The sequence below is a fragment of the Homo sapiens genome, chromosome 3 (assembly GCF_000001405.40).
Source record: "Homo sapiens chromosome 3, GRCh38.p14 Primary Assembly".
Taxonomy (NCBI): Eukaryota; Metazoa; Chordata; class Mammalia; order Primates; family Hominidae; genus Homo; species Homo sapiens.
In genome coordinates, this window is record NC_000003.12 from 131,905,645 (window position 1) to 131,929,075 (window position 23,431).

The 23,431-nt window shown below is 39.2% G+C and overlaps 1 protein-coding gene across 8 annotated transcripts in view, besides 1 other annotated feature; it reads right to left on the reverse strand.

Moving 5' to 3' along the window:
- CPNE4 (copine 4) overlaps positions 1–23,431 on the reverse strand; it is a 506,038-nt gene that overhangs the window by 372,076 nt on the left and 110,531 nt on the right. The window contains exons 1-2 of one of the 8 annotated variants that reach the window (XM_024453339.2): positions 13,755–13,761; positions 9,523–9,528 (exon numbers count right to left, since the gene is read on the reverse strand). The exons of the other annotated variants lie outside the window; for them this stretch is intronic. The gene's annotated coding sequence lies outside the window, so the exon portion shown is untranslated. Of the gene's footprint in view, positions 1–9,522; positions 9,529–13,754; positions 13,762–23,431 lie in introns of those variants that run through there. 8 annotated transcript variants of the gene reach the window in all.
- Positions 8,548–9,072: an enhancer, noted in NCBI's record as "NANOG hESC enhancer chr3:131633036-131633560 (GRCh37/hg19 assembly coordinates)". NCBI's record gives its function as "activates a minimal SCP1, AML or CMV promoter by ChIP-STARR-seq in naive H9 embryonic stem cells {active_cell/tissue: H9 hESC(naive)}" and the evidence as "EXISTENCE:reporter gene assay evidence [ECO:0000049][PMID:30033119]".

Below are 23,431 nucleotides of genomic sequence, written 5' to 3' on the forward strand. Positions count from 1 at the left end.
TGCTGCACTTGGTTAAGAACACTACTTTCTTGTATGATTTGCATACATTTGCATAGTAAAATTTTTAGCCTGTGAAATAAAATTAATGAATTAGTTCAATAGGCTGCAAACTGTAATCCAGCTCTTCAATAAGTGTATGGCTTGTGTGAAATTGTACAGATTTGTTGGTTCATCAATTTAATCACATCTCAAGTTTTCAAGACTAAAAATCCAACTCAACTCCTATGTGATGGCATGGAGAAGTATATTGTTCTTTCTGAAGAAACAGCCATATTTCCCACCCCTAAAACTTTGCCCTCTTCTCAAAATGCTCTCAGCAAGCCAGCTCCAAGACAGAGGCCCAGCATCTGAATCCCTGTGCCCAAATGCACTAGCCCATTCTCACCTTTCCCTTTCCCACTCCCACCTGCCATATCAGAATTCAGAATCAAAAGGGGGAAAGTGATGGGGAGGAAAAGCACAAAGCTTCCTATTCTGAACTTGTGGAAACAGCAGCTACATTTAAGCACTGCAGGCCCCCTGCCCATTTCCATGTGATATCCTTTATTTTATTTTTTGTTTTTTTTTGTTGTTGTTGTTTTGTTTTGTTTTATTTTGTTTTTGTTTTTTTGTTTTATTATTATTATACTTTAAGTTTTAGGGTACATGGGCACAATGTGCAGGTTAGTTACATATGTATACATGTGCCATGCCGCTGTGCTGCACCCATTAACTCATCATTTAGCATTAGGTATATCTCCTAATGCTATCCCTCCCCCCCTCCCCCCACCCCACAACAGTCCCCAGAGTATGATGTTGCCCTTCCTGTGTCCATGTGTTCTCATTGTTCAGTTCCCACCTGAGTGAGAACACGCGGTGTTTGGTTTTTTGTTCTTGCGATAGTTTACTGAGAATGATGGTTTCCAGCTTCATCCATGTCCCTACAAAGGACATGAACTCATCATTTTTTATGGCTGCATAGTATTCCATGGTGTGTATGTGCCACATTTTCTTAATCCAGTCTATCATTGTTGGACATTTGGGTTGTTTCCAAGTCTTTGCTATCGTGAATAGTGCCGCAATAAACATACGTGTGCATGTGTCTTTATAGCAGCATGATTTATAGTCCTTTGGGTATATACCCAGTAATGGGATGGCTGGGTCAAATGGTATTTCCAGTTCTAGATCCCTGAGGAATCGCCACACTGACTTCCACAATGGTTGAACTAGTTTACAGTCCCACCAACAGTGTAAAAGTGTTCCTATTTCTCCACATCCTCTCCAGCACCTGTTGTTTCCTGACTTTTTAATGATTGCCATTCTAACTGGTGTGAGATGGTATCTCATTGTGGTTTTGATCTACAATGAACTCAAACAAATTTACAAGAAAAAAACAAACAACCCCATCAAAAAGGGGGGGAAGGACCTGAACAGACACTTCTCAAAAGAAGACATTTATGCAGCCAAAAAACACATGAAGAAATGCTCTCCATGTGATATCCTTTATAATAACACTTTGCATCCCAGAGCCCCAGTGATCCACCAGAGGCCATCAGTGCTCTCCTTCTCTGAAGACGACTGAACGTATAAGATTCTCTTAGGAGCAAAATTCAATACCTTGCTTATGGAATTCTGTTTCTTTGTAGATTCATTAGGGAAAATGACAATGGCTTCCTCAACCTCACATGGCACTGGTGCTCTGCAGTGGAATTTCTTCATCTATAAAATGGGAATAATTCCTCTCTCTCTCCTTCCCTTCTTCCACAAATATTTAGTGAGCTTCCCCTTGGTACCAGCACTACACCAGGTTTAACTGAGTACAGCATGCCACCTCTTTTACAGGATGATGGCTATGCCTCAGCATTACGCATCACACAGACACACACACACACACACTCAATCACACCAATAGCATTTTATTGGAACACAGGCATGCTTATTCATTTATGTATTTATGTATTTCACACACAAGCACACACACTCACTCCTGCACACCAATAGCGTTTTATTGGAACACAGGCATGCTTATTCATTTATATATTTATGTATTTATCTGCGGTTGCTTTCACTACAATGGCAGAACTGAGTAGTTGCAATAGAGATTGCAAGTACCACAAAGCCTAAAATATTTATTATGTGGCCCTCTTCAGAAAATGTTTACCAACCTCAGTTCCCTTAGGTAAAAGGAACCTCAGTTCCCTTAGGTTAGGGAAATTTGTAGTTTTGGAGAGTTGCAATTCTGGTTTTAATATGTGTTGGGAAATTAGTTTTAGGATGAGAACTGCTCTATCTTCTACCAAAGTGAACATTAATAGGGACTTTGGGACATTTGTTTTTTACAGATGAAAAAATTCAAGCTCAGAGAGGATTGGCAGCTTGCCCATATTATGCAATTATTCTAATGGCAGAGCTGGGGCTGGAGTACCAGTTTTCTATCAGCCAGCCCAAAGCTATTTTTACCACAGGTAAAACCTTTAGCTGGAGAACTGTTCAAATGTACCAAGGAACAGTGGATACAACAAATATCCTTGATTTATTTCAACCTCCGTACAGAGTCATACATCCCTTCTACTTGTAAATAAATTCTATTCAAATACAGAAAATGCACAGATTATAAGTCTATAGCTTCATAAACCATTTTCCTTCTATTTTTACAAGTTGTGAGCAGATCAGTCACTACAGCAACATAGGTGACAGAGTATACAGAAAATGAAATTTACAACAAAGCAAAGGGAGAAAAAGAATCAGCTGGTGGAAAGATGGCTTTGTGTTCAGACAGGTTTGTAAGTGTGTTACAAACTCTCTTTATCAACTGATAAGAACAGCTTATTCTTCAATCAATATCTTCCTGAATTCCGCTTTTCCCAATGCATTAACTGGCTCCTTGGAATCTACACTCCTCTTCTGCAGCTTTCACTGGCCTCTCCTATCTCCAAGAGCCATCACTGTCCTTCTAACTTTCCCTATCCTTATAGGCTCATGCCAAGTCCATCTCTTCCAAATCCACTGTTTTAATATGTGTTAGGAAATACATATTGTATTTTTACATACATATTGTACATAAAATACTATGCAAGCTACGATAGAATGGGACATCTCTAATATCAGTCTTGATTGTGAGGTATAATGCAAAAAGACTCTGTCAAGGAGACACATAATTCCCGATTCAAATCCTGACTCCTCCATTCACTGACCATGTATCCTTGGGCAGGGTATTTAACGTCTCAGATGGTAATATCTATCTTGAAGAGGTGCTGTAAAGAGCAGATTAAATAATATATGTAATGTGATTACCACAATACCAGGTATATTGTGGATGCTCTGATAGTGGTAGCTATTGTTATTGTGCTCTGACTTATCTCCAGATAAAATCATTCATGCTTTCACTACCAACTGAAAAACTCTTAGATGTCTCACTATTAAGACCAAACTTCTATAAGCCCATTTAAATGTCTTCTGTATTTACAACCTGTACAATCTGAGCATACTACCCTCCATCTAAGAGCACACACTCATCTTTTAAATCAGTTTATCTGTGGATTCATACACATGAGCCAATAACTCTCACAGGTTCACAAGTCAGACAGTAAAACAATGGTGACAGCTCTTCTAATATTGTGAAGCTGCTTTATTAACTTCCTGGGATAGACAATTTATTCTTCAATCAGTGTTCTTTCCAAAGCATCAGCTGGCTCTATGGGAATCCTATACTCAATAAAAGCCCTCTCTTGGTCCATATAAAAGATAGTCACATGTTATGTGCAATTCACAAGGCATCTGATGGGAATGACAGGATTTCCACAATGCAGAGGGGTCAATTGTCTCATCCTCCCTCATTTATTCATTTCCAGGTTGTTACAACAGTTTTGGTTCACATGGGCCTGGTTAAATGAATTTCAGATGATGATATTTAGTTTTAACTATCCCTACCTCTCCAATGGATTACTGCAAAGAAATCTTATTGAATGTAAAAAAAAATAATGTAGGCAACCAAACACCACGAAATAGCAGAGGTGACACATTTTTCTCCTAGTCTGAGGTTCTCGTTGGCCATCATACTTGCTTATAATAGTGGCAATCTTATACATGTGTCAATAGTTGCCCAAGATAATTAAAAATTATCAAGGCTTCTTGAAATATGGATTGATACATGCAATCACTGATAGGATATTCTATATCAAGTGTATGTAGTTCTTGCTCTGAATTATTAGTTAATGATAGTAAATTTAAGTAATTTATAAAAGAATAAACATATAAACTGGAGGCACATGTTTAGAGTTTTTTAAATCATGGAATAAATGATTCAGAAATTTTATGGATCACTTCTTTAAGCAACGGGAAACAGAGGATTTGAAGCTGGGAAATGGGCATAATCAAATAAATATTTGATAAAGATCAGTCTAGTACTAATATGATGGTTGGACTGCAGGAGAGAAAAAACATTTGTGATCATATGAGGCTGTTTTGCTGCTCACTTCTATTCCTCCTTTTCCCATTGATTCTACTTTCTTCCCTCTGCTCAGGGCCCTAAAAGGCTTACCTCCATTGACTGCCAGCACACTGTTGGCAAGTGTTATGTTGGGTTTCACTAAAGGGATGCAGTTCTGGGGAAGGGGGGAGAAAGAGAACAGCATATTTCTTCCGAACTCCTACCCTGATCTTTAGCAGTAGCCATGCAAATGACCATAGCTCTATCTGCAAGCCTTCAGATATCACTGGCCTTAGTAACAACACTGTTTCCTCTCCTTACCCCTTCAGGCTTATGGGTTGTAATGTTTTCCTGCCAGTCTTAAGGTGGGCATCCTAGAAGCAAAGCCTGAAACAGGGATTCAGATGCACTTGATTTCCTTACCTCAGAGGAGAGGAGAGAAGAAAAGTGCAGGAAGCAAAGAAGTGGTCTCAGCTGGAGTACAGCTTCAATCTGATTCCATGGGGGCTCTGGGACATGAATTGTACCCTTAAGGAAAGAGGTTCAGCCTATTTAACTCCATGTGAGAAAGTCATGCTAGGGATGAGGGGGCATGAACTCTTAGATTTGCTGCTTCCTCCCCTTGGCTGAAAGCAATCAGGCATTCCCAAGAAAAGAGGCAGCCATGAGCCATTATCAGTCAACACTTGGAAGTCCTTGAGGGAGGGATGCACTTACTGGATAAAGGGCATGTAGGCAGAATATCATTGGGTCTATTTTACCACAGTGGCTGGTCTCTAGGAACCTCCGTATGAATTCCTTTAACTTTGACCACAAAACCGTAAATGTTCTTTTCATTAAAATCTCTTGAATCAATAGAGATGATTCTGTTTTCTGTCTGGAAAAGAGCTAAACTAGAACAGTACAGCTGGAATTAAAAATTAGGAGTGGTGTGGCAGACAGAGGCTAAGATGGCCATCTCCTGGTATTCATGCCCCGTATACCACCCTCACCTTGAGTATGGGTGAGACCTGTGACTTGCTTTTAACCAATAAAATATGGCAAAAGTAATAGAATGTCATCTCTGCCTTTATGACACCTCAGATAATGACACCATCTTGATAAGAGACTCTCTCCCTTGTTGGCTTTAATGAAGTGGCCATGTTGGGAGGCAAGGAACTGAGGGTAACATTCATCCAATAGGCAGCCAGAAACTGAGACTCTCAGTCCAACACGCTGAAAGGAATGAATTCTGCCAACAACCATGTGAGCTTGGAAGTAGATCATTCTCCAGTTGAACCTCAGATGTGACAGCAGCCCTGACTGACACCTCGATTGCAGACTTGTGATACTTGGAGACAGTGATTCCAAATAACCTGCAACAGTATTTCTGACCTACAGAAACAGTGAGATAATAAATGTGTGCTGTTTTAAGCTGCTAAATTTGTGGTAATATTATCTAGCAACCAATAATTATTAATAATACAAACAGATTCAAGAGGCACTCCAAGTTGTGTGTGTGTGTGTGTGTGTGTGTGTGTGTGTGTGTGTGTGTAAACTCCTTTAGATCAGGGACTACTTCTTATACTTTACTGGATCCCCAGTAGTGCTCATCTTGGTAATATTTCTGGTCTGGTGATGAAGCCAACATAAACCTTCATTTCTAGAGGGATAGGGTACAGGAAAGCAATATGGAGATACTAAAGACAAAATTCCCAACTTTTCACAATTATACTCAGGGTCCACAGCTTACCTCCTGGTGCCTGCACAAATGAGAGCCCTGACAAAATATACTGGAGTTCATGAGTTCTTGTGCCTGACCTTGACTTTGGAGGTGGTACACAGGACAGTGAAATCAAATTGTTTGGCTTTGGTCCAGCTGAAGCTCACTGCTGAAAGGTGATCACAAAATATGGCTCTGTCAACGAGTGATCAGCTACCTCTAGGCCCAGAGAAGCGGAGTAAACAAGTAATTTCACACACTGCTAGAGAACAGGATTAATATAGCCCGATTATCAACACATTCTCCATGGCTGATTTAAATCCTCTTTGTTGCCTTTCACACAATACCTTGGGGAGACTAATGTCTGCTGAGAATTATTTTGATAAAAGCTGACTTTTGGCCAATTTTAGAAACAAATTATAATTGTCCTTTCACTGAGATAATTTAAGTTATTAAAAACTACCACTTCAGCATATTCACATTCTCTAACAGGAAAAACTGATCCTGAAACTTAATTAGTTTCTGAATGAGTTGCAAACAACACAAAGACAATAGAGAACTCAAGAGGGAAGAGAATCAGCTTGAGTTCACAGGGGAACCAACTGAGCAGAGCTTGTCTTAAGACTGTGTCAAGAATAAGTGCATAATCACTCTTCTGCTTGCCTTGGCATTATTCAGCCTTTTAAAATGTCATAGTACATCCAGGGAAGGCTAGGGTGCTGGATGTCTCTATCTCACAACATTTCCATCACAATTCAAGAAACGTGTATAAGGGATCTGCTATGTGCCTGATGTGCTGAATGCTGGAGGCACTGAACATCCACTCGCTCAACCAGAGATTAACAAGGTGTTATTCCACTCAGACTTGTCAATCCATTTCCTAGGCAACATTCCTTAGATCAAGAGGAGATCTGTCTTGAACTTACCCATAGGTGGCAAGCACTGTGCTGGACACTGTAAGAGATGGAGGCATAAATGAGATAGTCCACCTGCCTGAAGTTTCATACTCTGGAGCAGTGCATCTCAGACTTCACCATCATCACAAATCACCTGGGAAGCAGGTTAAAATGTAGTTTCTGTTTCAAGAGTGTGGAGTAGGGCCTGAGATTCTGCTCCCAGATGTTGTTGATCCTGCTAGCCTGCGGACTACACCTTGAGTAACAAGGTTGCTGAGTACAAACCAAGCATCTATAAAACAAGGCAAACTTCCCCCAGATATTACTTATCTTAGGAACAGACACTCGTATATGAGATGCAAGATAACACAGGGGATAAGAGTACAGATCTAGTATTGAAGCATTTGAGTTTGAATCACAGCTCTACTACTGTTAAAGTAGGTAGCTAGTCAGGCATGAGAAGTGTAAGAGAGGGCTCCCCCCACTCCATCAGGAATGTCAGGCGACCATCAGGTGATGGTCAGGCAGTTGTCACACTGTCTCTCTAAAATAATAATTAGTCACAGCCAGTGCCAGGGAAAGGCAGTCTCCATAGATAAAAACACCTGAAACTGGTGATCAGCAGCTTTTGGATAAGATTTCAGCAGTTGGGCCAGTAGGCTCGAGCATGCATATTAAGAGCCAAAATGGTACCATTTAACTGGTATATAACCATCGGGGGCATTCCACTGGTAAGGAAAGAATGCCTCAAATGAGCATGCATACAACTCCAGTAAACACACTGCTCGTGCTCCCCTCCCAAGTGCTAGCAGGCCACTGTGCATGTGGACAACCCACTCTGAGGGAAGAATCAGGGAAGAAGGGACGCAAGACCCCAGAAGAGTGTTAATATATAAAACCCCAAGTCAAAAGGTCAAACTGTGCACTTGTCTATCAAGTTGCCTGCTTGGCCCTCTACCAAGTATATGTTCTTTCCTTTTGTTCCTGCTCTAAAGCTTTTTAATAAACTTTCACTTCTGCTCTAAACCTTGCCTTGGTCTCTCCTTCTGCCTTATGCCTCCTTGGTCGAATTCTTTCTTCTGAGGGGGCAAGAATTGCAAACTCACATGGATTCACTACCATTAACACTATTTACTTGTTGTGTGACCTTGAGTAAGTTACTTGAATTCTCTATATCTGTTTTACCATCTTTAAAATGGGGATAATAATAGTTCCTACTTTGTAGAGTTGTGTTCAGAATTAAGTGAATTAATCCACATAAAAGTCTTCAGAGGAGTATCTGGGCCATAATGAGCACTCAATAAATGCAAATTACTGTGATCATTGCTGTTGTTTTTTAATTGGACCACTAGGTTCATAGAACATTCTTTTAATTCTTATATATCTTCCCAGCATTTAACAATAGGTCATCAGATCCTCAGGATAATCCTTCACTGGATCCTTGGGATAATCCTTTTGTAGGACCTATTAGGACACCCATTTCCATTTCATAGGCAAGAAATTGCATCCTAGAAAGGTACAACAACTGCACATAGCTGTCCAGCCACAAAGTGGTAAAGCAAGGATTTGAACCCAGGACCTCCAAATACAGAACTTATGCCCTTAACCACTTTGCTGTTCTGCCTCCTTATAGGTTAGCTGCTTAACAAGACTCTCAAAAAAGTGACAGGTGGGGATTTACACCACAGAACATCTTCCAAAATTTTCTTGGCCCATCTAGCTTCCCTGAATGTCACCTGGTGGCTGTCCCTCCCCCTCTCTGTCTCCTCCCCTTCTCTCTAAGTCCTTTAGATTTTAGATTCTTTCTTCCCCCACATTTCACAGAGAGTCCTTTATTTTGTAAATTAATCTGCCCTCTGGGTTTCTTTCCTCTCAGGACTTTAATCATTACACACCCTGCTCAGGGCCCCTCTGCTCCCATTTTGGCAGTACAAACACTGACTTCCCAAGAGGTTGGGAAAAGGAGAAAAGCTGTATATATTTATATTTTTGTCCTCATCAAACATATAATGTTCTATAATTCGTTTAAAAATAACTTGCTTTCGGGTGGGCACGGTGGCTCACACCTGTAATCCCAGCACTGTGGGAGGCCAAGGTGGGTGGATCACCTGAGGTTGGGAGTTCGAGACCAGCCTGACCAACATGGAAAAACTCTGTCTCTACTAAAAATACAAAATTAGCTGGGTGTGGTGGTGCATGCCTGTAATCCCAGCTACTCAGGGGGCTGAGGCAGGAGAATCGCTTGAACCCAGGAGGCGGAGTTTGCAGTGAGCCGAGATTGCGCCACTGCACTCCAGCCTAGGCAACAAGAGTGAAATTCTGTCTCAAAATAAAATAAAATAAAATAAAAACTTGCTTTCCTAGCTACTAATATTAACTACAGTAATAAAACACACTGTTTTATTTATTCCTTGAGACAACTTCTTGAGATCAGTATTGTCAGCCTCATTTTATGGATGTGGTGGTTAAATAACTTATCCCAATGTCATAGTAAGTGACACAGCCAGGAATTAAACCTGGGTCTAGTGGCCTCTGAAGCCTGTGTTTTTGACCAATTCTTATAAGATGATTTGTAATTTGCTTAACAATTACTTTCTTTTTAGACCATGCCAAGGCAAACTTCAACCCTATTCCAATCCCAATAAATCTCTAAGGTGTAGTGTATGTATTGAGATTGTGCTCTGGCAGTGCTTAAAAATTCACTTTACTTCCTTTATTCCCAAGGCTGCTCAAGTCACTCTATATGTAATGGTAGCTTCATCAACAAGTTGAGGGTCTAAGAACTTAAGGTCCCTCCTCTGATTATTTCAAACACTGAGCATTTGAGGAGTTATAGATGGTGGAGCTACAACACCCAGCAAACACAGATACAAACCACATGAAACACAAAAGGCCATGGTTTTCATGAATAATACAACAATATGAGTACATGAATTAACAATATGACAATTGTCATATGCATTCAAAATGGACAATATGCATACATGAATGTTTTTCTGGAACATACCATACCAAATCTCTCAGATGCAATAAATAATTACTTCAATCATTTCCTGAACTTTATAATTTGAGACAACGGAGAGACCAAAAGAAAAAATCTAGCAGAAATCTCATTTCCTGAAAAACAACTTCTTGGGGAAATGTGCATATGGAATCAGATACATTGATGTTCTTAGGAATTCTGGCCTTACAATTTTGACTCTAACAATGATTCATAAAGATGAGATTTCTCCAGAAAGTAACTATGTTTATTGCATCACATTTATATTAACTTTATAGCACTCAAATGTTTCCCATCTTCAGGAGAAGAATTTAATGTATAAGTGTAACCGAATAATTTTAAATGCTGACAGAAAGTTTTAAGAGTTAAATTTGAACTAAATCGCAAGAGAAATCGTATAAATGACTATCTTCTTCCTGTCACAGCCCCTCCTTTTCCCGGCATACCAAAGGCAACTATAGTTCCTGAACGAGAGAGAAAAAGCAAACTTAAATAATGTTTTATTATTTTGGCACTGAAATAATTTACTCTTGTTTCTCAGGCAACTAAATTTACCAAGTAGAAAGATCAAATCTTAGTCTTCTTTTGTTCAGTTATTTTACCTTCTTAATAAAATCATAGTTTGGATTCTTCCACTAGGGTCACGTTAACAGGAAGCTGGGGGGCTCACAACGTGGATTTTGTGTTTCCAGTTAGAAAAAAAAAAAAAAAAAAACAGAGCAGGATTATTCTTATGTTCAAAGGGAGAAACGACAGACAACATATGAAGCCAGAAGCCAGTTTACTTGAGAAAGCATGATAACTGATCTACTTATGGGTCTTGTTCTGCTTCCACTCTGTCTCCTTTAAGAATTGCTTCATGTACTTTTTTAATTGACATGCTTTTGCTTAGTTGGCAGAGGACAACATGGTGTGTTTTGGGAAAGAAGAGGGGGTTGAACAGATAACAAAGTATAAAAAGAAATACCTTTTCAGGATAAAGAGCACAATCTCTAGTTCAGCATTGCCCAGTAGAAATATGTGTAATGATGGAAACATTCTGTATTGGTGATGGACAATACAGCGGCTACTAGTAACACGTGTCTATTAAGCACTTGAACTGTGGCTAGGGCAATTGAGGAGATATATTTTTAATTAACTTTTTTAATTTAAATTGAAATAGCAACTTGTGGCTAGTGACATGCACTGGACATACTGAACTACTGTTTGTTTTCTTTGTTTTTTCTAAAGAACAAAGCAACTCATGAAAACAGGACTCTTTTATAAGATAAGTCTGTCATTGCCCTATTTGGTGGAGACTGGATGCGGAAGTGCTCAAAAGACTTAACAGGCTCAAGTTTAGCTGCTAGGCTTTTCATCATCTGCCAGTGCCTGTTGATTGGTGGTGACTGCCCATCTTACTTGTGGAGACAGGATGAGAATGAATAGCATGATTCACTAGCAATGTCTGCAATCCACATGCATGGAGGAGTGAAGTGGCAACTCATGAGGAAAGACCTTGGGGACAATATTGGAGCAAAGCTCTCCTCAGAATTTCTTTCTAACGTGGCAGTACCTTTATGTCCAATGTGTAATCATGTTTCTGCTAAAAGTTTCCAAGTGGGATGACATAAGCTTTGTGGTAAATGACCTCGCTAGTGTTGCTATGGATGAAAACAAAGAAGAGACTAGAATTTAGGAAGATGTAGCATGTGAGCCGAGTGTTTTTGAAGTTGAAGAGAGGGATGTTTGAAAGGGAGGACATGTTGGAAGATACATCGTGTTTGTCGCTGCAATCAGACTCATGACCAGCTATCACAGACATTTGAGTGATGCTTTGGGGAGGAGGAAAGCCACTACAGACATGGAAGGAGTGGTGTCGGCATGTCAACATTCATACACAGACACACACCAAATTCATATGTTCTTGCTCTCTCTCTCTCTCTCTCTCACTCTTTAATAGTGAGACTTCTTCAGTCTGAATACCAGGTGGGGTTGCTTTCACATAACAATGTGAGAAATGCATATTCACTGAAGGAGTTTGACAGGAATAGATAGAAAAAGAAAGACACAAGATCTCTCCACTAGCACAGAGAAACTTCAGAGGGCCTCTTGCTGCAGAAGGGAACATTGGCTGAATTGATCAAGTCAGTGGACCAGGGCAAGACTGTGGAAGACATTATCAGATGAGTAGGAAATCTGGCAGATGCCTTGTGTATGGCAGCTGAGAATTCTGTGGATTTCTAGTTCTCACTGAATGTGAAAAGAACTCCAGTACAAGAAAACATGCAGTTCCCAGGGTGGGTAGAGAGAGACCAGAGAAACAAGCACCAGATGTAGAATACTCACAGGCAAGAGTAATACTCATGGACAAGCATTTTTGGGTAATTATGTGTCTGTCCCAGTGCTTCCCATAATACGATCAAATTTAATCCTTTCAAGAGTTATGGAAGGTAGCTGTTGATATTGTTTCCATTTTACAAATGAGAAAATTGAGATTCAGAAAATCTAAATAAATTGCTAGATTGCACAACCCAAAAATGGAGGAAGCAGAATTCAGTCAGATTTTTTAAACTCAAAAGTGCAGGATTTTGTGTATAATGTTATTCTTCCTCCCCTTACATACCTCAAGATCTAGGTTCATTTTACAGTTCAGTTTGAGTCCCTTAATGCTGGAAGTCCCAGAATGTGATATCACGCTCATTTAGACACAAAATATTTATTTAATACTTCGAGTATGTGCTGAGAACCATGGTAGGTACTGGCAGATACAAAGATGAAAAGACAAGGTTTCTATCTTCATGGAGTTTCCAGGCTGATGGAGAAATGAACAGGCAAACAAATATTTAGAAAAGATTAAGTTTGCTTGTTCTCTGCCATATTTCCATTAAAATAGCCATAGACAGACTCAGAAGCTGACAATCATACCGGAAAGGAAAAAACAAATAACAAATAAGCAAAAAAAACCACACGTGGAGTTTCCTCTGGCTGTTTTCTACAGAGCTGTGTGCTAGGGAACTGTTATTCTATGAGGTGCTAATAGATAATCTTAAAAGGAACAATGGTAGACTTTATAACATAAAACAGTTTTTTTGTAACAGGACATTTTAGAGCCATTACTATGTTAATTTGCACTGTGAATCTCCAAAAAGGAGATATGGTGTATAATATTTCCCAAAATTATTTAATCACAAAAACACATTAGAAGACACATGAAACACATTAGAAGACAAATGATTAACAGAGAAGAAAAAGCATTTTTAAAATGCTAGAGGCTAAAGAATAACAGGTAGAGGCATATTGCATTTGGGAATATTTTATTTACTATGAAAAGTGTTGTAGGGAGCCGAAGTGAGAATGCCCAGGAAACAGTGCAGTGTAGGAGGTGCTGTCTTTCATGTACTACACTGGGTGCTGAGCTTGTGGTTAAGTCAGAGTTCCAGCTCTAGCCTGGAAGGTCTACTCTAAATAAATGCCTGCTGGATTCAGCAACTTAAGTCAGGTATATCAAGGTGACCTTCAGATAGTCAACTGAGAAGTAGCAAATGCTAGCACTAAGTGAATAGTGAAGAGGATTGATGAGACTCCACTTAATCTGTCCACTGGTAAATGCCAGCTGGATAGATTTCTTTCCAATCCTGAATGAGTAAATTAGAAATAACAACAGCAACATGCAGCCTAAGAAAAGGATGGGGAATAACTAGATCGTGGTCAATTCATAAGATGGAATGCCATATAGCAATGAAAATGGAGGACAGTTTGATACACGTGCCAATATGGATAAATCTAGACATAATGTTAAACAAAATAGGCTAAATACAAAACAGTACATGCTGTATGATCCCAATTTTGTGAAGTTGAAAACCAGGCCAAATGATAAAGGCAGAACAATGGTTACCTTTTGTGAATGCAATGATGGGAGGGATACAAGAAGGCTTCTGGAGTGCAGAAATAAACTACATCTTGATTTAGGAGGGTTTGCTTTGTAAAATTCACCCAGCTGTATATTTACAATGTGTGCACTATTCTGTATGTTTGTTGTACTCAGATAAAATTTTACTTAAAAAGTAAATAATAGGTGGCAGAAATAGCGTCAACCTATATAATATGTTATTGATCATGAAGAGGTAAAATTCTCTTACTAAAGGACCAACACCCTTTTAGATTATCTTTAACATCGAACTAGGTGATACTTATAAAGAAAACTATAATAAGCAAGTGAATCAGTGAATATATGAATTTTTTAAAATAGACAAAATTTAATTAAAAGAAAGCAGTAATAGAGATAAGGCAAAAGCTAAGGAAACAAACCTCAAATGAGTCAGAGTCACTTCTCTCATTCTCCCCAGCCTGGATCCATTGTAATTTATTCCTCATTGCAGTCAGCAGGTGTGAGTTGCTTAGGGATGTTTGGCAAATTGTTAAACTCAAATCTGATCAGGTCACTCCGCTGCCCAACATCCTTCTGTGGATTCATAAATGCTGCAGGCCAAAGCCTACATTTCTTAGCCTAGAATCACTGATTTTTCCTACCTTTATTGATCAGGCCCACTATTCTCCAGACACTGTAAATTGCTCTATTCTCATTTTCCTTCTCGTACTTTCAAGTCCTAGAAGGCCTATGGAATTATATGTAGATTTATTAACATGAAAACATTTTTACTCGTTTATTTCTCTTCCTGGCCCAATTTTAATCCCTTGACAAAATTTTCACGACCTCCCCCTTACCTTTGTTAGTCACTCCTTAATTTGTGTTCCTACAGTTCTGGTTTAGCTTTCTCTCACACTAATTATCACTTACATGCTATAGCTATTAGTTTACATGTCTGCAAAGTCCTAGTGGCTAAGGATCAAGGACTGTTTGACAAATATTCAAGGCAGGACAGACTGGAAGTGGAGCCTCCTAAATCAACTGATGACAGATATCTTGGGTGTGGGGGTATTTTAAAGTCAGTGGTTATTATTTTGAAATTTTCTATAATAAAAACATTTTAAATACAAAAAAAAAAATCAGTGGCTTCAGATGCTGATAAGAAAAAAAATCTCCGGAACCAGGAACTAGGCCCTTAAAATGTCAGTTGACCTAGAAATATAACAAATATGATCTATGGTGTCATCTCAGAACCAAATGTTCTGAAACAAATGTTCATCATTTGTTTGTCAAATCTCAGAACCAAATGTTCATGGGTGTAAGACTCCAAGCATTTCATCTAGAAGGGCACTGCTCCTCGATTCTCCTTCCTCCCTCTCCGCAAATTGAGCTTGTCACTGATACTGCCTCAAAGACAGATTTACATGGTAAATGGCTGAAGCTAAAGAAGATGTCTGATGGTCTGGTATCCTTACAGTGGTATGGCATAACCAGAAGTTAAGCTGTTGAGCAGAACAAAGGCCTCCTGTCCACACCTGATGGGCTGACAACATTGCTCCCACACAGTTGACACTTACTGGGTGGCACCAAAGGGTGGGTGACAAGAGTGACAACTTTGCCTCTGCATCTCAGAAACTCACTTCCCCCAAGAAGAAATGATGTCACTTCTGGGCAAAAAGCACCAAACTATTCCTACTTCCACCACCAACTGGATTAGAACACCAGAGTACGTTCTTTAACTCTCAGGTCTCTCAGACTCCAGTCTTAGTGTTTGTCTATTTCACTGGAGGTGAACAGTCCAAGTAGCAAATAAGTTTCACAGATAACTGGAAAGAGATGTTCATAGTCATAGATACTCTCTCTTTATCCCTAAGACCCCTAAAATTCAACTTATTGATTACCTAGCGCCTACCATATGCCCAATACTTGATCGTGTGCCATGAGGAGCTCTGAAATAACAAAACGTGGTCACTGCCTTTGAAAAACTTTCAGAGTGATCAAGTACATGAAATATTTATTCAAGGAAGGAACTAGAGTATGATATGTAAATGTATAGGCTTTTTTAATCAGATATCCTGAGTTCATTTTCTACCTCCATGGTTTACTAACCATAATGATAGGCAAGGTGTACTTTGGTTTCCTCATCTGCAGAATAGAACTAATAACAGGATTCACCTTAGCACTGTTGTGAGGATTCAGTGAGCAACAATGCAGATATAGAGCATAGAGTAAGTGCTAAACAATCATTATGTTACTAGGGTTAATATAAAAGAGAGTTCTGCAAGTAGATACATGATGAATCGTCAAAGTAATTAGCAAAGACCAAGTCAGTGATCACAAAGCCCAGAGAAGATAGACATGCTTTGGTCCAAACTAGAGAGAAGAGAGAAGAGAGGTAATATTTATCAAGCAGGCTCTTTTTGATATAATTTCAACTTTTATTTTAGATTCAGGGGGCACATGTGCAGGTCTGTTACCGGGGCATATTGTATGATGCTAAGGTTCGGAGTGTGATGGATCTCATCACCCACCCACATTCTGAGCATAGTACTTAATAGTCAGTTATTCAACCCTTGCCCCCAACTAGTAGTCTCCAGTTTCTATTGTTGCCATCTTTACGTACATGAGTACCCAGTGTTTACCTTCCATTTACAAGTGAGAACATGTGGTATAAGGTTTTCTGTTCCTACATTAATTCACTCAGGATAATGGCCTCCAGCTGCATTCATGTTGCTACAAAGGATATGATTTTGTTCTTTTATATGGCTGTGTAGTATTCCATGGTGTATATGTACCACACTTTCTTTATCCAATCCGCTGTTGATGGGCACCTAGGTTGATTCCATGCCTTCGCTATTGTGAAGAACACAAGCAGCCTTCTTCATGCCAGAACTGGTTTAGTGGCTTTACACAGAATCATCACTACCTCATCCATAAACTAAGAGAGACAGGTCTTAAGCTAAAGCCAAGAGCCTGATCTAAATTTGGAGAGGCTAAGAAAAGAAGACAGGAAATGCCCATCTGTATGACCAGTTATCAAAGAATGGTGAAAACATGGAAACAGCATGCTGCATCTGGAGGGCATGAGATGCTCAAATGGATGAGTATCATTTGGGTGCTACATAACATATGGTTGAAAGTGCTTTGGAAATTCACGGGCATTAATTTGTTAAACATTCTCTAGTTGTGACATAACTTCTCTGTTCCTCTGTTTTCTTATTCTAAAAAGAAAGATAGTAATAGCTACCTCCCAAGACTATTGTGAGAATTAGAGGAGAGAATAGACATAAAAGAAGCAAGCATAATAACAAATATAGTGTATCCTCTAAAAGTGTTATGTCTGTTTCTATGTCTCCTGTCCTGTGGTCTAGAATATATTAATAGCAAATGCCCAAGTGCCCACACTTAAAGCTCAGATAATTTGAAAGAACTATGATTTAAAGATAAATAATTATTATAGATCAAGACTGTAAATTAAAATGGTTCATGTTAAAAGTTGTTTGTATATTTTGGTTTGGGCCAAAACCTTTAAAACAAATAGGTTTAATTATAAGTTGGACCAGTTCATTGAACATGTGGGACTCTTTGGCAAGTTCTGTAAAGAAATTAGCTCATGGGAGGTTTAAAAATGAATTAACTTTATTTTTACTTGAAAGTCAGAGTTTAGTTCAATGAAAAAGCCTGCTACAAATAACTTTTGCTTTATCGTAGTCCTCTTTTGTGCTGATAGTATTACCAAAGAAACAGAGGCAAAAATGTGTGTTTGTGTGTATGTATGTATAAAATATTGTCACCAAACATTCTATCTGCTCCCTCAGGACTCTTGCACTGTGCAGAGAGATCTCACTAGTTCTGAGAATGTGGAGCAGGGACTATAAGGCCTGTGAGAGGCAGGGGATGTGCAGAAAATCCAACAGAACTGGCTGGGCGCAGTGGCTCACGCCTGTATTTCCAGCACTTTGGGAGGCCAAGGTGGGTGGGTCACTTGAGGTCAGGAGTTTGAGACCAGCCTGGCCAATATGGTGAAATCCTGTCTCTACTAAAAATACAAAAATTAGCTGGGCATGGTGATGCATGCCTATAGTACCACCTACTTGGGAGGCCAAGGCAGGAGAATCACTTGAGCCTGAGAGGTGGAGGCTGCAGTGAGCCGAGATTATGCCACTGCATTCCAGCCTGGGTGACAGAGCTAGACTCCGTCTCAAAAAAAAAAAAAAAAAAAAAAAAATTAAAAAAAAATAGAAAAAAAAATCCAACAGAACCAAAGAGGGGTCTGGGGTAAAAGATGCCTCATGTGGGCTAGTGGCTCATGTCAGCTAAGCCCCAGGCCCTAAGTAAAATGACTCCCATACCACCCCAAGGTTTTCTTTCTAATCCTCCTCTCTCCACCAAAAGTAAGACCCAGAATGAGAGACTAAAGGGACCAAGGGGCCAGTGGCTGCCTTATTCTTCTCTGAATCCAAAAGACCAAAGGGACCCTCCTGACTCTTACGTGGCCCAGCTTAATTCAACAGAACAGGAGACTCAAGAGAGATTTTGGTCAGTGGTTCACCTTGTGATAGTGGCTACTTGCAGGGTCTTCCAGACATTACGTGTCCCCTGGGGACTCATCAAGGACAGTGAAAGAACAAAAGTCCTGTACTCTTCTCATCAGAAGTATAGCTAACGATAGCCACATGACATATCTTGTCTCCCTTACAGCTGCTAAGTCCTTATTTGTTTCCTTCCCTGGATAGGTATTCATCTTCATCCCCCATCCCAACTTCCAACCTTATCAGTGAAGAAGGAGTGGGAGGGATAAGGCAAGAGAAGCAGAAACTGAGTCATACCACTCAATTCAGCCGTGAACTTAGCTCAAGCACTTCACCAAATATCATAGACATCATCATAGAAATGATTTAATGTAAATCACAAAAATTACCAAACAGGAGAGTGAAAGGATCTAGAATGTAAAGAAAATACTAAATTATCTTGAAATGTGTATAGCAGTGGTTCCAAAACTTTGCTGCACCCAGGAATCACTTGGAGATCTTTTAAAAAAAATGCTGGCACCTGTGTTTTATCTCAGATATTCTAATTTAAATAGAGTAAGGCTTGAATGTTGATATTTTTAAAAATTCCTTAGGCTATTCTAATATGCATCAAAATTTGAAAACCACTAGTATAGAGGTGTGTCTAGACCAGTAATAGTATTTTCAGTCCCTAGAAAGGATGTAATAGAAACAATGGTGACATAAACTATACTTTTTGGCTATAAAGGAAATTAAACCCCTAAACTAATCAGTGTAAACGTGAGTGTTATCAACCAGCTGATGGAATGACTTGGTGACTTATATGTCCCTGGGGCTCAAACAGCAGGATCACAAATGCAACATGCTCTCTGTTCTCCTTCAGCTCCCACCTCTTCTTTGGTTTTTCCAAATGGTACTGTAACCTTGTTAGTAGCAACCTTGAAGCACAGCTTAAGTCAGGACAGATCCTGTTTTTCAGGCACAAGCACTGATTGCAAGATTTTTCTCTTCACATTGAATTTTTCTGTGAATTCATCTTCATAAAGAAGTTTCACTCTCAAAACCTGTGGATTCCTTCCTCTCGTCATTTTGAGATTGCTAAAAGTCTCTCTCTCTCTCTGATTCTCTCTCTCTTGTTCTCATATTCTCTCTCTCTCTCTCTCTCTCATAATTTTGTACTTTCCTTTTGCTTTGGATGCCCTTCTCTTCCCCCTTGCACTCTACACACACACAAACCCACACAACATACCACATTTCAGCTCAAACATCTGGGTGGCCAAGGAGCCAGAGCCGCCCAGAGTCATTCCTAGGCTGAGTTGGCTGTCCCACCTCAATGCTCTCCTAACACCCTGGGATCACCGTGATGTCAGCACAGTTAGGTCATTTGATCAAATTCATCAAGTAACTTTTGCCTGCTTTCTCCACAAAACCATAACCTCCATGAGGGTATAGGCCCTCCATCTTTCCATCTGTGAATTTCCATCAACTAGTACACAACATAAAAAAATAAACTTACCATTGTGCTCAAAAGATTCTCCTTGGAGAAAGAAAAAAGATTTGTACCCTTCTGCCTGAATGACAAAATTTGGTTTGGGGATAGGGGAGAAAAAAATAGGAAGAGAAAGAAGAGAAAATACATCAATGTATTCTTATGATGTGGCCAACACTATTCTAAAATACATACATGTGTAAATGCCTCGAATTCTTGCATCAACCCTCTGTAGGATGCACTAAGACACTCCTAATCTAGAAAGTATTAAGTTTCTGACTGGGCAGCCTCCCCAGGGCTACACATCAAATGAACACTTGAGAAATAAACATAGGCATTCTGACTTTTGGTGACTAGTCACCATATTATCCTGCATTTATTGAGAATTTCAGGGAACCTAGGGACATGAGACATATTTTCCACCTTCCTGGACAGGAGAGTGAGAAAGTCAGAAACACAATTGATTCTTTCTTCTCTGCAGATGGAATAAAGAGACTAATAGAAACAAACACACAACACATACACACACAATTTAAACTTACTATACACAAGTTAAATAAAACAAAGTGTAATTTTTAAAGGTAAGTAATAAGATGGCCAACTAGCATGAGCTGTTGGGCTCTCTCTGATAGAATTAACCATGGAGAATTTAGAGAAAGAAGAGGCAGGTGTGAGTCAGAGGGGTTAACAAAAAAATTGTGAGAAACCCCAAGGTGATGGAATGCTGGCAGTGAAAAACTGGGATGGAGAGAAACTTTTAACTGTCTTTGCTGTCTTCCTTCTGAGTTAGCCTGTGACAAGCATTGTAAAAAAACAAAGACAATTCAACAATAAACATTTGTTGATCGAAGCGGAATTACTAGAACCGACACACTAAGAATTTAAGATGAAAAATAATAATCCTTGTAACAAATAAATTTGAAAATAAAGATATGAACAACATGAAATACGAAAACAATTATAATGAAAAGAAACATGTGGAGATATAGGAGGATATAGGAGAATAAAAATGTCAGTAAAACAAGAAAAGTTTCTTGAGAAGGGGAAGGAGGAGATGAACCCAGAAATGAAAACTTATATCCCTGAGTCAGTTACCAATCCGTGGACTTTCCAACAGAGGAGCACACTTTGATGTTCAGCTATTTTAAGTGGGAATGAATTATTTTAAAGTTGGTACCTGCAAACCTCACTAAGCAAAATGTCAGAGACTGATAATCCCACCCTTTTAAACTCAGTCTCCCAATTTTGAGTGAGAAATGTTCCATTTCTCTTCTGTCTCCAAAATTCCTTTAATACCCTAGAGAAAGGTGACTATTTGAGTCAAGTCTTGAAGGATGGGTTGTAGTTTTAAAGCAGGCAATAGAAAGATAAAAAGCCCACTGGAGAGATGGAACAGCTTGGGCGAAGGAGTAGGGGTCTGAGGATGGGGTAATAAGAGAGGGGTACAGAATTGAGTTATAGAATTAGGGTGTGGGAGAGAGGAAGGAGCAAGACAGAACAAGCTGGCCTAAAGGACCTTGCATGCCTTGCAACTAACAATAGCTAGTGCCATTTACTGACCACCTATTAAGTTTCAGTGACTTTTATTTATAATTTACTATCTTATTTAATATTCATAACAACCTTGCAAATAGTCATCATCATTCCTATTTTACGGATGGGTAAATTAAGATTCAAAGAATCTTTTTTGTTTTCTCGTTTGTTTTTTGGTTGGTTTTGTTTTGCTTTTCAGAGAGTCATGCATCTGTCTGTCATCAAAGTCTTGTGTGTTTCCAACTGTGTTGGCTAAAATACAAAAGTTATCATTTAACATCCCTCTCTAATCTTTCAGTGGATCCCAGGCACTTTCATGATTAAGAGCAAACTCCCTAATATAGCACACAGAGCCCTTCTCCCATCACATCTCCATGTTTCTTTCCTTCCTACCACTACAAATACTTGTCTTTCACTCACTCATGTGGCTCAATTACTACTGTCATGACATCTCATGTCATTGCAGAGTTATTTATCTGATCCTACTCCAGACTGGGTGCTCTTGGAGGTCAAGGGTATACCTTTTTTGTATTTTTACCCCATTGCCAAGTTCAGTGCTTGGCTCAAATTAAGAAGCCAATCAATTTTTGTTAACTGATGAATTAATCAATCAATCAAAGAAATAATCTTTTTGTCCCCTGTGTAAAACAATTATCCAAATACATTCAGCAGGACAGTTTATCCTCTGTTCTTAGTTTTAACCAGAGTTTCATTTTTTTCTCTGCCTGTCTCTACTTCCCTCATCGCCACCATGGTTTTCTGGCTTTGTCTTTGTAGCAGGACATAGAAGTAGCTGGATCATGCTTGAGAGAACACTCATTCAAGGACAACCTTAGAAATAGGCAAGAAAAGTAGTTTTGATATTTTTTCTATTTGCATTATTGATGTCATTAACTGTATATATGAAAACCGCTAAAGAAAATTGGATGTATGCATGAGATAAAAGCCTAGAGAAAAATACACCACAATGTTAATGTTAATTTCTTTCACAGTCATGGGATTATAGGTGATTTTAATTTTTAGCATTGCGAATTTTGGTATTTTCTAAGTTGTAAATAAAGTTTTCTAGGTTTTTAATGAACATGCATATATTACTTTTATATCAGAGAAACAGGAAGGATTATGTTTTAAAGCATTAAGCAAAATGTGTAAACATGAGTTCTTATATGATATCGCTGTTCAAAATCCAGAATAAGCATGTATTAATTATACCATAATTAATGTATACCATATCCATGAATTACAGTACAGGTTATCTAAAATTTACAACAGTCCTCTTTTCTTAAAAAAAATGCAGATATGATTAGGATTGTATTTAACACAAAAGCTTTGTAATTCCTGCTTTAAATCTACTTGGCTATAAAAATTTTAAGGGAATTTTATCGTGAAAGCAGCCCAAATCTATTCAAAGGAGCAAGCCTTTCAAGCCAGTGACCCCCAATGCCTTTTTTTCTTTGCCATTCAATAGTGCAAATCACCCATCTGTTACAAACAGGAACCTGAAAAAGCAACAACATCCTGGCAGTGACTAGCCTTAAAAACCATTCCCAACTCTACCTCCAGACCTGACGCTGTATTCAAGTGAATGTGCCTGAGGTGTGATCACCACAAGGAAACAGAACTGTGTCCTGTCTATGCCTATACTTGGCCATGCTTGTTAGAGCAAACATCCTGAAGTGACCACTGTGCTGTCCACACCCCAGCCAGGCAAGACTGGTATAGATGGGAGGGTGTCAGGCCTCCAGGCATGTGCTAGGGGAAGCTGCCATTTGAGAAGCTTTTGTTTCCCTGACACCTTTGTCGGGACATGAAAAATGGAAGGGAATGAGCAGCAGCTGGCTGCTTCTGCATTGAAGCCTGGCTTCTGATATTTACCATAAGTGAGGAGGCTCTGGATGGTGTCCTGTAGAGAGGGCTAGTCCTAGGAATAGCTGAGGAAAAGCAGATCTAGATAGTCTTTTAAACTACAGTTGCAAAGAAGCCACTCTGATTTCTAGATCAAGGTCCCCTCTCCATCAAGGAGGCCTTGAAAAGAGAGAAA